Raw genomic sequence first — 15,090 nt, 5'->3', positions numbered from 1 at the left:
ATCCCAGCACTTTGGGAGGCTGAGATGGGCGGATCACCTGAGGTCAGGAGTTCAAGACCAGCCTGGCCAACATAGTGAAATGAAACCCCATCTTTACTAAAAATACAAAAATTAGCCGGGTGTGGTAGCATGAGCCTGTAATCCCAGCTACTCTGGAGTCTGAGACTGGAGAATCGCTTAAACCTGGGAGGCGGAGGTTGCAGTGAGGCAAGATCGTGCCACTGGGCACTCCAGCCTGGGCGACAGAGGGAGACTCTGTCTAGAAAAAAAAAAAATAAATAATAATAATAATAATAATTAAACATTACATTTTTATTGCAGTGATTTGATTTTAAATAATTTTATCATTTTACAATATAACCCAAAATATGCTCATGGGACTAGTAAATTTCAAATTTGGTTGGCATCATCATCTCTGCCTCGTAGATATCCAGAATGCTGAGTAAGAGCTGTAACAGTGCTATATTTATGTTGAGGAAGAGGTGTCTGACAGCTGCTGGGGAAGGAACTGGACAAACAGTAGGCAAATATAAAACAGAATGTGCTGTGTCAGTTTGGGGGCAAAAGCATTGTACAAGAACACTGATGATGTTAACCTTTATAGAACTAATGACAAATTACCTGCTGATTTTTAATTGGGATTTCCTTTTTGACTTTTAAAAATTTAATTCATATGCCAACATCTTTCTGTTTCATACAGATTTAGCCATTTGATGTATTTCTAACATTTAAAAATAACATACTTCTCTTAAACTCAAAAATTCTTCAATTAACACAATAATTGCTAAGTAACTAATCACACATTCAATTGTAATGGTCTTGCTTGAATTTTGTAGGCAGTATGTTCTGCTGATTCCTTCTGTTCTACAAGAAGGCTCTTTGGATAAAGCTTGTGCCCAGCTTTTTAATCTCACTGAATCTGTTGTTTTGACGGTCTCCCTCAACTATGGTGAGGTCCAGACCAAAATATTTGAAGAAAATGTTACTGGAGAAAATTTCTTCAAATGCATCAGCTTTGAGGTAAATACTTCTTTCTGCTTAATATAGAAAAGAATATTACAGGTGCATGAACACCACCCACATAACTGATTTTTTAGGGACAGAGATCAGGCTATTTGACTGTATGTGTAAAGTTATTTTAATTTTTAAAAGAATAATATAGTCCTCAGTATGAGATGATGTTAAGTACAGTCATAAATGGTAACAAGGGCAAGAGCCAAAACATTTGATTTTATGATAGAAAATTGTTGAAGGGAATAAGACATATAGAAAGAATGACTCTTGTGCAGAAAAGGGAAGTTTTAAGAAAGGCAAAAGAATCCATTTAAATGGTGAGATAAGGAAGTGACAAAGCAAGAGAAATAAACAAGGTTGGTTATTGAAGAAATAGATATGACAAATTATGAATTAAAACTTTTAGTGATACCAACACACAGTGATAGAGATTTCTTAACAAAAAATCAGTTTCATGGAGTATTTATTTGTTCCCTAGGTTCCTCAGGCCAGATCTGACCCACTGGCATTTATTACATTTTCTGCTAAAGGAGCCACTCTCAACCTGGAAGAGAGGAGATCTGTGGCAATCAGATCCAGAGAGAATGTGGTCTTTGTACAGACTGATAAACCCACCTACAAGCCTGGACAGAAAGGTGAGTGTACCTAAATCAGGTTACCCTCAACTAATGTCACTTATATGATATTTGAATTGATGGTACACAATACAAGCTCAGAAATTTTATTGTATTAAAGTTTATTAGAGAACCTGCTTAAAAATACAAAATAAAAATATAGATTACATAGCCTAAATGTTAGAGATTTCATTTCCATGAGTCTGGGGTGGGGAGCCTCAGAAAGTGTATTTTTAAAGAGCACCTTATTCTATTCTAATAATATCCATATTATTCTAATAATATTCTAATAATATCCGTATTATTCTAATAACATTCTAATCACATATTTGGGGATTTTGAATTTAATTTACACAAACTTACAAGCTTATGGTTGAAATAGAAACAAAAGAGCAACAAAGTATGTCATGAACATGTAATGAGATACCCCTAGTGACTAGAGAATTGCCCAAGTAATAGAATGATCAGCATGATGTTGAATTAAGCTGAAAAGCCTCCTCTCTCCTCCTGGGTACAGAAGGAGTTGATGAATACAGATTACAGCAGTCAGAAGATAGACATTTCTGATGAGATGAATGGTACATAAAAAAGCACTGAGGTAGAATTAATTTAAAAACCATGCCGTAAAATGAGAAGTAGATAGACTTATTTGGAGTAAAGAAACCCAAATGTCCATCAATGATAGATCGAATGAAGAAAATGTGGCACATATACACCATGGAATACTATGCAGCCATAAAAAAGGATGAATTCATGTCCTTTGCAGGGACATGGATGAAGCTGGAAACCGTCATTCTGAGAAAACTATTGCAAGGACAGAAAACCAAACACCACATGTTCTCACTTATAGGTGGGAATTGAACAATGAGAACACTTGGACACAGGGTGGGGAACATCACACAACAAGGCCTGTCGTGCAGTGGGGAGAGGGGGAGGGATAGCACTAGGAGAAATACCTAATGTAAATGACGAGTTAATGGGTGCAGCACAGAAACATGGCACATGTATACATATGTAACAAACCTGCACGTTGTGCACAAGTACCCTAGAACTTAAAGTATAATAATTAAAAATAAAATAAAATGTGATATAATAAAAGAAAAAAAAAGGAAGGAAAAGAAGCTGCAGTGAATAGAAGAGTTAAAGGAAATCCCTGAATATAGAACTAAAGAGGCATTTTCATGTAGTTAAGTAACACCCATGAGGAGTCACTACAGATGTGGGGATCATGGCTTGAGGAGGCAGTCGTGGATGAACTGGGAATCACAGTAATCAGAGCCTGCTTAGGCACCAACACACTGTGATCCCAGAACAACACAAGCAGAGGGAGGTGAGGGATATGTGCTGGAGATGGAGGAATGCACTGCATGCATTGTGCTATCCCCAGCCTTCCACTCCTCTTCCCCTGACCCTTTGCCTCCCTCCCTCACTTCACAAAAGAGGGCATTCAGGTCAGTATTTAGGCACCAGAGAAAGAAGGACTAGACAAGAAAGACAGGGCATGGCTGTACAGTTTGGGCTGGCACCAACAACGGTGGAACAAACATTACGAGAGCATGCATGCTGGCGTGGGAGGTGCTTATGAGGGGGAAGAGTATATGTGCTTGACACAAGAGGATGTCCAAGGAAGGCTTCTAGGATTCTTGCTAAGGAGAGCTATAGAAGGCAGAGGTGGGGAAGGTGGCTGCTACTTCAAAGAGCACAGAAACATTAAACCTTAATTTAAAATTGCTTTTTTAAAATTTCTTATCCATCCACAGTCTAGTAAAGAGTCTAATGCACAGAGGAAAGGTTATAACATAGCAAAGAAATTGAGCCAGGAGTCTTACACAATTGAGAGATATTCAGTTTTCAAAAAATTGATCATTACAATCTGAGATTATAATGCTACAAATATTCATAATCTACCCAGCATCATGCTTCTTTTTGAATAAAAATATGGTGTGATATTAACTATGATTGCTAAAACCTCATTGCACAGTTTATTGTTGCTTCATATTTATAATGCAATATATTAACTACTATATAGTGGCATGAACAAAATATGAAAAAGCATAGTAAACAGATAAAATAGAAAGTGAGACCAGACTAATATGGTGATGGTAGTCTAAGACAGTATTTCAGCAGAAGACTACAATCTAGCTAGCGACAATCTGAGAACCAAGGCGATCAACAGTGAAAACTGTCAAAAGACAACGAATTATGACCTGGACTTCAGTCTTTACAACAGGATACCTGACAAATTTCATTTCATGTAGTTTAGAAACCTGTTAGAACTAAGCATTCTTTTGTGGTCTCTCAGATCAATCTATCAACTGAGCGCAGTTACGAAGAAGCTTCTGAAGCTTACAGAAGCTGTGCAGATGGTTTCTCTGTTAGTGCCTTTTCCTCCCTCCAAATTGTACTTCATCCTTAAGACATCGTCACTTTTAATCCACCTCCTTTCCCCATCTTCTATAGTTATGCTACATTCACTAGACTGTTGCTTAATTTTAATTTCCAGAGCAGGAATCTAATTTTTAGTGCTCCAAAGACCTTGTAGTAATCTAAATCCGAAATCACTTCCGTAAGATAGCATGTGGTTCCTGTTCTCCTTGGTTCATGGTTGAAGCTTCTATTTCTAAGAATGCAACTCCTCTATTTAACCAAGGCAGTGAGAATTTCTACTGCAATCCTTTGACAATCATCCTTGATTGGAAGCACCATGGGGAAGTAAAGGTCTTCTTGAAAATCAAAGCAGCTGCAGCATTATCATAACTCCCTTATTAGTTCTCACCCCCCAATGTTGACTTATTATTGTCAATTAGGCCAAATATGATTATCCAACTCCCTGCTTTAGTAATAACTACATTTGCATAAGAACAGGATTAATGGACTGTTCCCTCAAATATGGGTCATAGATAAGAAGATCATTTGTACCAAATGTTTATGGCAAGGAGTTTCCATGGCACAACAAACTGCATGTGCTTATGTATAGAGATGGAAATTGATGTAGCATTTCCAAAAATGATGGCAGCTAAGAGATTATGTGGTTTTATCTTTGCAAGCCAGTGTTTCTAATTGCTGGACATTATCTGGTTCAGTATTCCATTTAGATAAATAGATTCAATGCATGGCTGGCCTATGAGATTTGGGCATTCATAATAAATTTGACTACATAATAAAAATATAGTAATGATGCAACTGGGCTCATTATCAAATGAGCCAAGATATAGAGCATATACCTAGTTTCTTCTGCCCAAATCTTACATCGGTCTTTTCTTTCATTTTCTGCAATTTCATTGCTGATGGTGCCTTTCTTTTCCTTTAAGTCAGTGTTTTGTAGAATATTCAAACATACTTTTTCCAGAAAGTTTCATTTGCATCAAGAAGTTTCAGATCTTTCTTTAAACTTATCTTAAGACCTGGAACTACTAGTCCTCTAAAAAGAGGCCCTGTGTATGGACAGGGAGAGATAGTATGAACCAGAAGGGGACATGAAGGAGTTGTTGTATTGGTTCTTGGCTGGTTTATACAAGATTTAGTGCAGACAGTCATTAGTGACTACAGCAGAATCAGCCTCATTTTAATAATTGTTTTTAGAGAAAAATCAAGCAGCTTAGAACAATGAAAATGTGATTTTACTAGGTTCTTGTTCACTAGTTTTTTGAAATAGACCAAGCTGAGTTTAAAAAAAAATCTAAAAAAAAAAGACAAATTAAGTAATAAAAACTAAATTTGTTGAACACAGTTGAAGCCATCTGCATTGGAAGTATTACAAATAGCAAACAAAAAGGGATAGTACTCTAGGTTCATTTCTCATTATTAGAATCTCATCCAAATGGTTAACGTCTTCCCATGGCACCTTTGGGTAATATATTCTTCATTTTCTTCCTATGAGGAAATCTCATGAGAAGCTCTACCTCTCTTAATGCTTGAGTTAATGTTGCAGCAGTAGCTTTCTTCAATACCATCTCAATATTTCATCAAGATTCAATTCCATGAATTTAGAATAACAAGTAGGCCCTTAATTCAACTGTTATATTTCTCAGTTCCAAGAATTCTGGACAAGGTTTATGAATCCTGTTCTTATCTCCAGACACATTACGTTTTATTAGTGAATGAATGCTGCAATTAGTGGGAAGGAGCACTTAGCAACTTGGGGAGTGGGCAAAGGACCCTATGTACTCATTTTTAAAATTCTCATCAGCCTATTCACATGAGGGCTTCTGGCCTAGGAGTCTTTAATTTCAACTTGTTAGTTTTAAGGTCCTGAGAGAAAACACTAAGAGATGAAAGTCAAACTGTTGACTATAGGTTTAGAGGGGGCAAGAGTGGTAAACATGGAGAGAACTGAGAGGAGATACAGAGAGGTGGAAGGAGAAGGAAGAAGGAGAGGAAACTCTGCAAGGGAAACTTGGGCAAATGTCTACGTTTATTTACTTGTCTGATAAGGAAATGGTGGAGTATAGGAATGGCCAATAATCTAAGACAAAAAAAATTAGTGCTAGATACAGAAATCAAAATTGAAGCATTTCAAAAAGAGGCAACCAGCAGTGTAAAACATTGCAACTGTCAGAGTGAAGACTGACCACGAATTTGTTGATAAGGAAGTTATGATTCATCTAAGAGGGCATTTTTATTATGTTGGAGAGACCCAAGGGCAGGGTTGCTTACTGAGACTGCAGGGTGTATGTTGTGAAAGAGAGAGAAGTAAATGAAAATTCTTGAAAACTAGGCAGATGAGTTTCAATATAATCAATAGATATTCAAACTTTCAGTCAGAAATCAGTATTTGTTTGGGTTGTCCTAAATGTGTTTATGTTTCTTTGCTTAATAATAGATTTATAATTAACCTCTTCACTCATCTAGAAAAAAAAACCTTGAGTTCATATATTAACATTATTTTTATTTTTATTTCAGTATCCAGTGATCACCCTTCAGGTAAGATAACTAATAGTTGAAGAATTGTTTTCTCATTTTTTGAACATCTCTCTAAACCTCAAAATCAAAAGGCAGCTCACAGGGAAGATTGTCTATTTAAATTGTCGCAGAATTATTAATTTCATGTAGACAGCCTCAAGAGGACAGAAATAGGTTTCCACCCCCACCACCATGTGATTCATATTAGCATGCACCCATTAATACAGACAATAATAATATAGACAACGGGCAAGTATGATTGTATTTAATTTAATGTTTAGTTGTTGAATGTATATAAATGTACACTTAATGTTTTATGCACTGGGGATAAAATATGGCTCGCCTTTAAGAAATCAGAGATTGACACAGAAAATAAATGTAAAAAAATCACAGCTAGCTCTAAAATATACTAAGTACTGTAATATGCATCTATGTGACCTCAGATAGGAGAGTAACCAATTCTCCTTGGGTGATGTGAGGACACACTCATGTTTTGAATCCTAAGTCAGTTGGAAACCTAAGTAGGAAACACCTTGCTGAAACTTTATAATGAATAAAAACATCCAGCATGCAAAAATACACTTTCTTATTCTCAGGATCCAGAAGGCAATCGAATACAACAGTGGGTGAATGAGGAGTCTGTGGGAGGGATTCTACAACTCTCCTTCCAGTTAATCTCAGAGCCCATCCTCGGATGGTATGAAATCACCGTGGAGATGCTCAATGAGAAGAAAACATATCACTCCTTCTCTGTGGAAGAATATGGTAAATAATAGCAATGAAAATATTACCTATTAATAAAAAAATTATAAAATCTTTCCAATTTTGCAAGGGCAGGATTATTAAATAATGAATTTTCAAGTGAGTATCTCTTCCTTTCCTCTTTCCTTGTCCTCTGTTACTATTTTAGGGTTCTCCATCTACTGTGATTTTTATCTCCTAGTTCAGCCCATAATCTTCCTGCAATTCTCTGTTAACCTAGGCTATCTATCTTCCTTTTGTAGTATCTGGATTCTATTTTATATGATAGTTTCTGGGATGTAAAGCACTTCTTATGAGAAGAATGGAATTAACATTAGTCATATGTTAGCCATTAGTCCCTTCATATTTTCTCCTAAAATCTTCATAAAATTTCTATTGTAGTATCTTTATTACTATTTTAAAGATGAAGATATTGAGAAACACTTTCCCAAGTTCAACACCTGAGAAGTGATGAATTTGGAATTCAAAATATGCATTTTTCTATCCAATTCCAAAATCCAGTCTTAGGCACTTCAACGTCCTCCTCACACTGTTTATTAATGGCAAACATAAGCAAAGGTTGATGGTTTGTAAAGGAGAAACAATTGTTTTGTATGAATGTATTTATGTTAATATGTATTTATGTTAATAATATATAATATACACATTATAATATAATATATATATATTTTTTTTACTGGCAGTGTTACCCAAATTTCAAATGACTGTGGATGCACCAGAAAATATCTTAGTTGTGGACTCTGAATTCAAAGTGAATGTCTGTGCCTTGTAAGTTGAAATTGTACACAATAGAATAATGTATTCATAGAAAGATATTAGAATGGGATAGATGGCTAAAAAGAAGTAAAATATAAATGTGTAGAAGGTAAGGGAAAAAGAAGGTGTTAAATTATTTTGCTGATTTTATGAATTCTTCCATGCATCTATAATTCTTTTAATGCATGTTATGACACGTGGTTTTATGTAACAGTTTAAGACAACTGACTACTGTCTTTCTTACATCATAAGATAACATATTGTTTTGCACCAGCCAATACAGTAGCCGTGACCACATGTGGTTATTTAAGTTTTAATTAAAACTAAATATTCAGTTGCGTTAGCCACATTTCAAGCTGTCACATGTGACTAGTGGCCACTGAATTGGAGAGCATAGACATAAAACATAGAACATTCCATCTCCCAGAAATTTCCATTGGACAATATCTTCTGTTTATGATGATTTCTCAATTCAATCTTTATGTATTACATGATTATAAAAGAAAACTGAAGCTCAAGATGTATCACAGAGAAAACTGCTGTAAGAGTTACAAGTGGCTCTAGGGTAATGGCGGGGCACAGTGTGGAGGATACTAAGGGCAGACAGGGACTTAGGGGCAAATAGTGAGGATTAACGTGTGGCAGGAGTAGCAGTGAAGCAGGTCAGGTTGTTTTCCCCTCTTGTCACTAAGTTAAGCAACATTCACAGAGTTTATATAACCAGCAAAGAGAGCCAGGGTGCAAACATTAAAACTTTGTCTCCTCAGACCTGATGTGTACTACTTTTCCCTGACTCATGTGTACTACTTTTCCTTTTAATTTTGCATAATTAAAAATAAAAAAGTGACCTGGAAATTTCTAGTTATTAGGAGAGCTTCACTACAGTAATCTAAAATTCCATGCCAAACTTTAAGGTGAAAGCTTTGCCTGTCCTCCTTCCTGTGTCTACTTTAGGCTGGAAGTCTTTAAGAGTCAAGAAGAAGCATGGCTAACTTTTTGATGTCACTACCTTGTGCTTCACCTCCAGAGTTGGAAGAATACAGAAAAGGCAGAGACTGAAAAGTCTCATTGTAGTTGGGTCATAAAGGCAGGGAATTGCCAGCATTGCTGGAAAATCCCCTGAGTAACAGAAATCCCCAAAGCCCAAATGTCTAGGTACTTCCCTATCACAGTGGCTGTGTGTTGGCTCCTGTGTCATTTTTACTGGAGAAGTATTGCATAAGCAAAATAAAGCACTCTAGGACAAGCCAGCTGGGAATCCCAAAACATAAGCATGAATCACTAAATGGTTGAAGATTCTAATGACTTGAAATCAAGGTATTATATAAACAAAAAAAAGAGCAATATATACCTGAGAAAACTGTTGAACATCAATCAGAAAAAAATTTAGAAATAAGTAAAATGTGTATACTCAGATATGAGTCAATAGTGTAACTTTAAAAATAATTAAAGACCTTGGAAGTAGGCATATTATTAATTTAAAAATATATGTGTAGAAAGGCTGACTAGAAGGATCGATGATGCTTAAGAGAGAATTAGTAATTTGGAAGATGAAATTGAGAAATTGTCATAAAACGTAGCCCAGAGGAATCTACTGTTATTCCTTACAAGCAATTTTGTTCTTTGCTCTTTCTACCTATTTAAAATTTTTTAAATTATACTTTAAGTTCTAGGGTACATGTGCACAACATGCAGGTTTGTTACAAATGTATACATGTGCCACGTTGCTGTGCTGCACCCATTAACTTGTCATTTACATTAGGTATATCTCCTAATGCTATCCCTCCCCACTGCCCCCACCCCACGACAGGCCCCAGTGTGGGATGTTCCCCACCCGGTGTCCAAGTGTTCTCATTGTTCAGTTCCCACCTATGAGTGAGAACATGCGGTGTTCGGTTTTCTGTCCTTGCGATAGTTTGCTCAGAATGTTGGTATCCAGCTTCATCCATGTCCCTACAAAGGACATGAACTCATCCATTTTCATGGCTGCATAGTATTCCATGGTGTATATGTCCATCTATCATTGATGGACATTTGGGTTGGTTCCAAGTCTTTGCTATTGTGAATAGTGCCGCAATAAACATAAGTGTGCATGTGTCTTTATAGCAGCATGATTTATAATCCTTTGGGTATATACCCAGTAATGAGATAGCTGGGTCAAATGGTATTTCTAGTTCTAGATCCTTGAGGAGTCACCACACTGTCTTCCACAATGGTTGAACTAATTTACAGTCCCACCAACAGTGTAAAAATGTTCCTGTTTCTCCACATCCTCTCCAGCACCTGTTGTTTCCTGACTTTTTAATGATTGCCATTCTAACTGGTGTGAGATGGTATCTCACTGTGGTTTTGATTTTCATTTCTCTAATGGCCAGTGATGATGAGCATTGTTTCATGTGTCTGTTGGCTGCTTAAATGTTTTCTTTTGAGAAGTGTCTGTTCATATCCTTCGCCCACTTTCTGATGGGGTTGTTTGATTTTTTCTTGTAAATTTGTTTAAGTTCTTTGTAGATTCTGGATATTAGCCCTTTGTCAGATGGGTAGATTGTAAACATTTTCTCCCATTCTGTCAGTTGCCTGTTCACTCTGATGGTAGTTTCTTTTGCTGTGCAGAAGCTCTTTAGTTTAATTAGATCCCATTTGTCAATTTTGGCTTGTGTTGCCATTGCTTTTGGTGTTTTAGACATGAAGTCCTTGCCTATGCCTATGTCCTGAATGGTATTGCCTAGGTTTTCTTCTAGGGTTTTTATGGCTTTAGGTCTAACATTTAAGTCTTTAATAATCTGTCTTGAATTAATTTTTGTATAAGGTGTAAGGAAGGGATCCAGTTTCAGCTTTCTACATATGGCTAGCCAGTTTTCCCAGCACCATTTATTAAATAGGGAATCCTTTCCGCATTTCTTGTTTTTGTCAGGTTTGTCAAAGGTCAGATGGTTGTAGATGTGTGGTATTATTTCTGAGGGCTCTGTTCTGTTCCATTGGTCTATATCTCTGTTTTGGTACCAGTACCATGCTGTTTTGGTTACTGTAGCCTTGTAGTATAGTTTGAATCAGGTAGAGTGATGCCTCCAGCTTTGTTCTTTTGGCTTAGGATTGTCTTGGCAATGCGGGCTTTTTTTTGGTTCCATATGAACTTTAAAGTAGCTTTTTCCAATTCTGTGAAGAAAGTCAATGTTAGTTTGATGGGAATAGCATTGTATCTATAAGTTACTTTGGGCAGCATGGCCACTTTCACGATGTTGATTCTTCCTATCCATGAGCATGGATTGTCTTTCCATTTGTTTGTGTCCTCTCTTATTTCCTTGAGCAGTGGTTTGTAGTTCTCCTTGAAGAGGTCCTTCACATCCCTTGGAAGTTGGATTCCTGACTTCAAACTATACCACAAGGCTATGGTAACCAAAACAGCATGGTACTGGTACAAAAACAGATATATAGACCAATGGAACAGAGCAGTGGCCTCAGAAATAGCACCACACATCTACAACCATTTGACCTATGACAAACCTGATGAAAACAAGCAATGGGGAAAGGATTCCCTATTTAATAAACGGTGTTGGGAAAACTGGCTAGCCATATGCAGAAAACTGAAACTGGACCCCTTCCTTACACCTTATACAAAAATTAACTCAAGATGGATTAAAGATTTAAATGTTAGACCTAAAACCATAAAAACCCTGGAACAAAACCTAGGCAATACCATTTAGGACATAGGCATGGGCAAATACTTTATGACTAAAACGCCAAAAGCAATTGCACCAAAAGCCAATATTGACAAATGGGATCTAATTAAACTAAAGAGCTTCTGCATAGCAAAAGAAACTATAATCAGAGTGAACAGGCAACATACAGAATGGGAGAAAAATTTTGCAATCTATCCATCTGAGAAAGGGCTAATATCCAGAATCTATAAGGAACTTAAATAAATTTACAAGAAAAAGCAAACAACCCCATCAAAAAGTGGGTGAAGGATATGAACAGACACTGCTTAAAAGAAGACATTTATGCAGCCAACAAACATATGAAAAAAAGCTCATCATCACTGGTCATTAGAGAAATCCAAATCAAAACCACAATGAGATACCATCTCATGCCAGTTAAAATGGCAATCATTAAAAAGTCAGTAAACAACAAATGCTGGAGAGGATGTGGAGAAATAGGAACGCTTTTACACTGTTGTTGGGAGTGTAAATTAGTTCAACCACTGTGGAAGACACAGTGGCCATTCCTCAAAGATCTAGAACCAGAAATACCATTTGACCAGCAATTGCATTAGTGGGTATATACCCAAAGGATTATAAATCATTCTACTATAAAGACACCTGCACACGTACGTTTATTGCAGCACTATTCACAATAACAAAGACTTGGAACCAATCCAAATGCCCATCAATGTTAGACTGGGTAAAGAAAATGGGGCACATACACACCATGGAATACTATGCAGCCATAAAAAAGAATGAGTTCATGTCCTTTGCAGGGACATGGATGAAACTGGAAACCATCATTATCTGCAAACTATCACAGGAACAGAAAACCAAACACCACATGTTCTCACTCAGAAGTAGGAGTTGAACAATGAGAACATATGGGCACAGGGAGGGGAACATCACACACCGGGGCCTGTCGGGGGTTGGGGGCAAGGGGAGGGATAGCATTAAGAGAAATACTTAATGTAGATGATGGGTTGATGGGTGCAGCAAACCACCATAACACATGTATACCTATGTAACAAACCTGCACCTTCTGCACATATATCCCAGAACTTAAAATATAATAATAAAAAATGAACAGTTTTACTTCTTTCCAAAACAAACAAAAAGAAATTACCCCAAAATCTGATGACTTAAAATGACATTTATAAAAAATAAATAAATAAATATAATTTACATTTTAAAAGTAAAAACCATAAAATATGCTCATAATAGCAGTTTAAAAACAAAAAAACTAAAAGAAGCAAAATGTTATTTTATTTCATTTTTTGTTTTTCAATACTCCATTGCTATCAGTATGCAAAAAATATTATTTTTAATGAAATAATGACTGATGTATTTTTTTGTTTTTTTGTTTACATTGTATTTTAGTGACTTAGATATATAACGTCTACATGCCTATTTCAACCTTTTTAATTAAAATATATTTTTGCCTAAAGCATTCAGCTCAATTTTAGTCCGTACCATTGTTTTAGATTTCCTCCAGAAAATAAAATTTATGGTAACTAGCTATTTAAATGTTGTTACAGTGCTGGTTTCAGCTACTAAATAAAGGTTTCAAAACCCTATACAGATTAAAAACGACCTTGACCTCTGTAATTGTGTTGTTGTTATATTCTTCTATTAGATATACCTATGGTGAACCTGTGGACGGGAAGGTCCAACTTAGTGTGTGCAGAGAATCTACGGCTTATCATTCATGTGCTCATCTTATCAGTTCACTCTGTAAAAATTTTACCATTCAGGTAAGAGGTATATCAGCAAAATTATAAATAGGTTTCCATTAACTTTTTATCCTCACCTTCCATTTACCTTCCTTTCTTCCTGTTTTCCTCTTTACAGTTAAAATATATACTTTTATTCTATATTTCTATTCCTATTTGTAAATTTTATATTCCTCTTTTGTCATGCTAAGTTTCATTTTCTATTGACTGACAAAAAGCAAATTATAGTATCAGAAACTGAGTAGTAAATTTCGATTCTTAATTAAAAATACATTTGGTTTCATATCAAAATCTACACCCTATCAATTTACTGGGAACATATGTCCTGTTCTTTATTTTATACTTTGTGAATTTAGTCAGGGAGATGTGATGTTTCTGCATATTCAAGAGTATTAGATGTATAATTATTTTCCTCTCAACCTATTCTCACTGGAAATAAGTGTATATAGGAGCTCCAGATGGGAACCCTATCAGTCAGGTTCTTAACCACTAAAGAGAAGAATCAACTTTTCCAAACTGACAAAGGAGGAATTTCCTAAAAGATCTACTTGGAAGGTTTGAGAACCAACATTCAGAAAACGGACACAAACAGGCTGGTCTAGGATGTAGCAAGGCTTTCAGCTATAATCATGCCAGATCTGACTGTCTAATATACAACTGCCAGCTGCAATCCCCATACTACAGTGTGATACCATTTATCCACACACATGTGTGCACACACACACACAGGTGCACACACACAGTGTCACATATTCCTGTCCTGTTTAGAGAATACTTTAGGTTGGAAATAATTAAGAACCTTCTAATTCTTAAATTTAAAAAATGTGGACAATAAACGCTAACAATAGTAACAATTATAATAATAATAATTGCTAACATTTAATGGATGCTTATTTTGTGTCAGTCACTGAGCTAAGTAGTTTATGTGCATTTGATTCTCAAAACAAATAGTACCCTATGAGGGGGTACTATTATCGCCCCCTTACCGATGAGTGGATTAAAGCAGAAAGAGGTTAAATACATTGCTCAAGATCATGGGTGCAGCAAAACTAGATCATAAATACATGTCAATACATATATATTTTTAGACAGTCTCACTGTGTCGCCCATGCTGGAGTGCAGTGGCGCGATATTGGCTTACCGCAACCTCTGCCTCCCGGGTTCAAGCAATTCTCGTGCCTCAACCTCCCAAGAAGCTGGGACTACAGGCGTGCACCACCACGCCCAGCTAATTTTGTATTTTTAATAGAGACGGGGTTTCACCATGTTGGCCAGCCTGGTCTTGAACTCCTGATCTCATGTGATCTGCCCGCTTCGGTCTCCCAAAGTGCTGGGGTTACAGGTGTCAGCCACTGCACCCCAACCAAGTCATATAAATATTTAAATAACTAGTGGGGCTGTATCTTTAGGGATATCAGGGATACAAAAATTTTCTCCACAAATTCATTCAACAGATAAATATTGAGGTCTTTTAATATGCAAGAATAATTTTATTTAGAAGCTTCATTGTTGAGCAAGACAGATCAGGTACTATCCTCATGGGTTTTGCACTTTATGAAGCAGTCATAATCTTTAAAGATGCACACTCTAGAAGAGACTAAACCAATA

The 15,090-nt window shown here is 36.3% G+C and overlaps 1 pseudogene across 1 annotated transcript in view; it reads left to right on the top strand.

Moving 5' to 3' along the window:
- Positions 1 to 836: 836 nt before the first annotated feature.
- The window catches only part of OVOS2P (ovostatin 2, pseudogene), an 89,584-nt pseudogene continuing 75,330 nt past the window's right edge, over positions 837 to 15,090 (top strand). The window contains exons 1-6 of the transcript NR_153414.1: positions 837 to 1,020; positions 1,493 to 1,649; positions 6,531 to 6,551; positions 7,127 to 7,295; positions 7,976 to 8,060; positions 13,386 to 13,503. The product of NR_153414.1 is annotated as an ovostatin 2, pseudogene (transcript). The remainder of the gene's footprint in view (positions 1,021 to 1,492; positions 1,650 to 6,530; positions 6,552 to 7,126; positions 7,296 to 7,975; positions 8,061 to 13,385; positions 13,504 to 15,090) is intronic.

The sequence above is a fragment of the Homo sapiens genome, chromosome 12 (genome assembly GCF_000001405.40).
Source record: "Homo sapiens chromosome 12, GRCh38.p14 Primary Assembly".
Lineage (NCBI taxonomy): Eukaryota > Metazoa > Chordata > Mammalia > Primates > Hominidae > Homo > Homo sapiens.
Note: the sequence above shows the minus strand (reverse complement) of the source record. Positions and strands in the feature narration are given on the sequence as shown.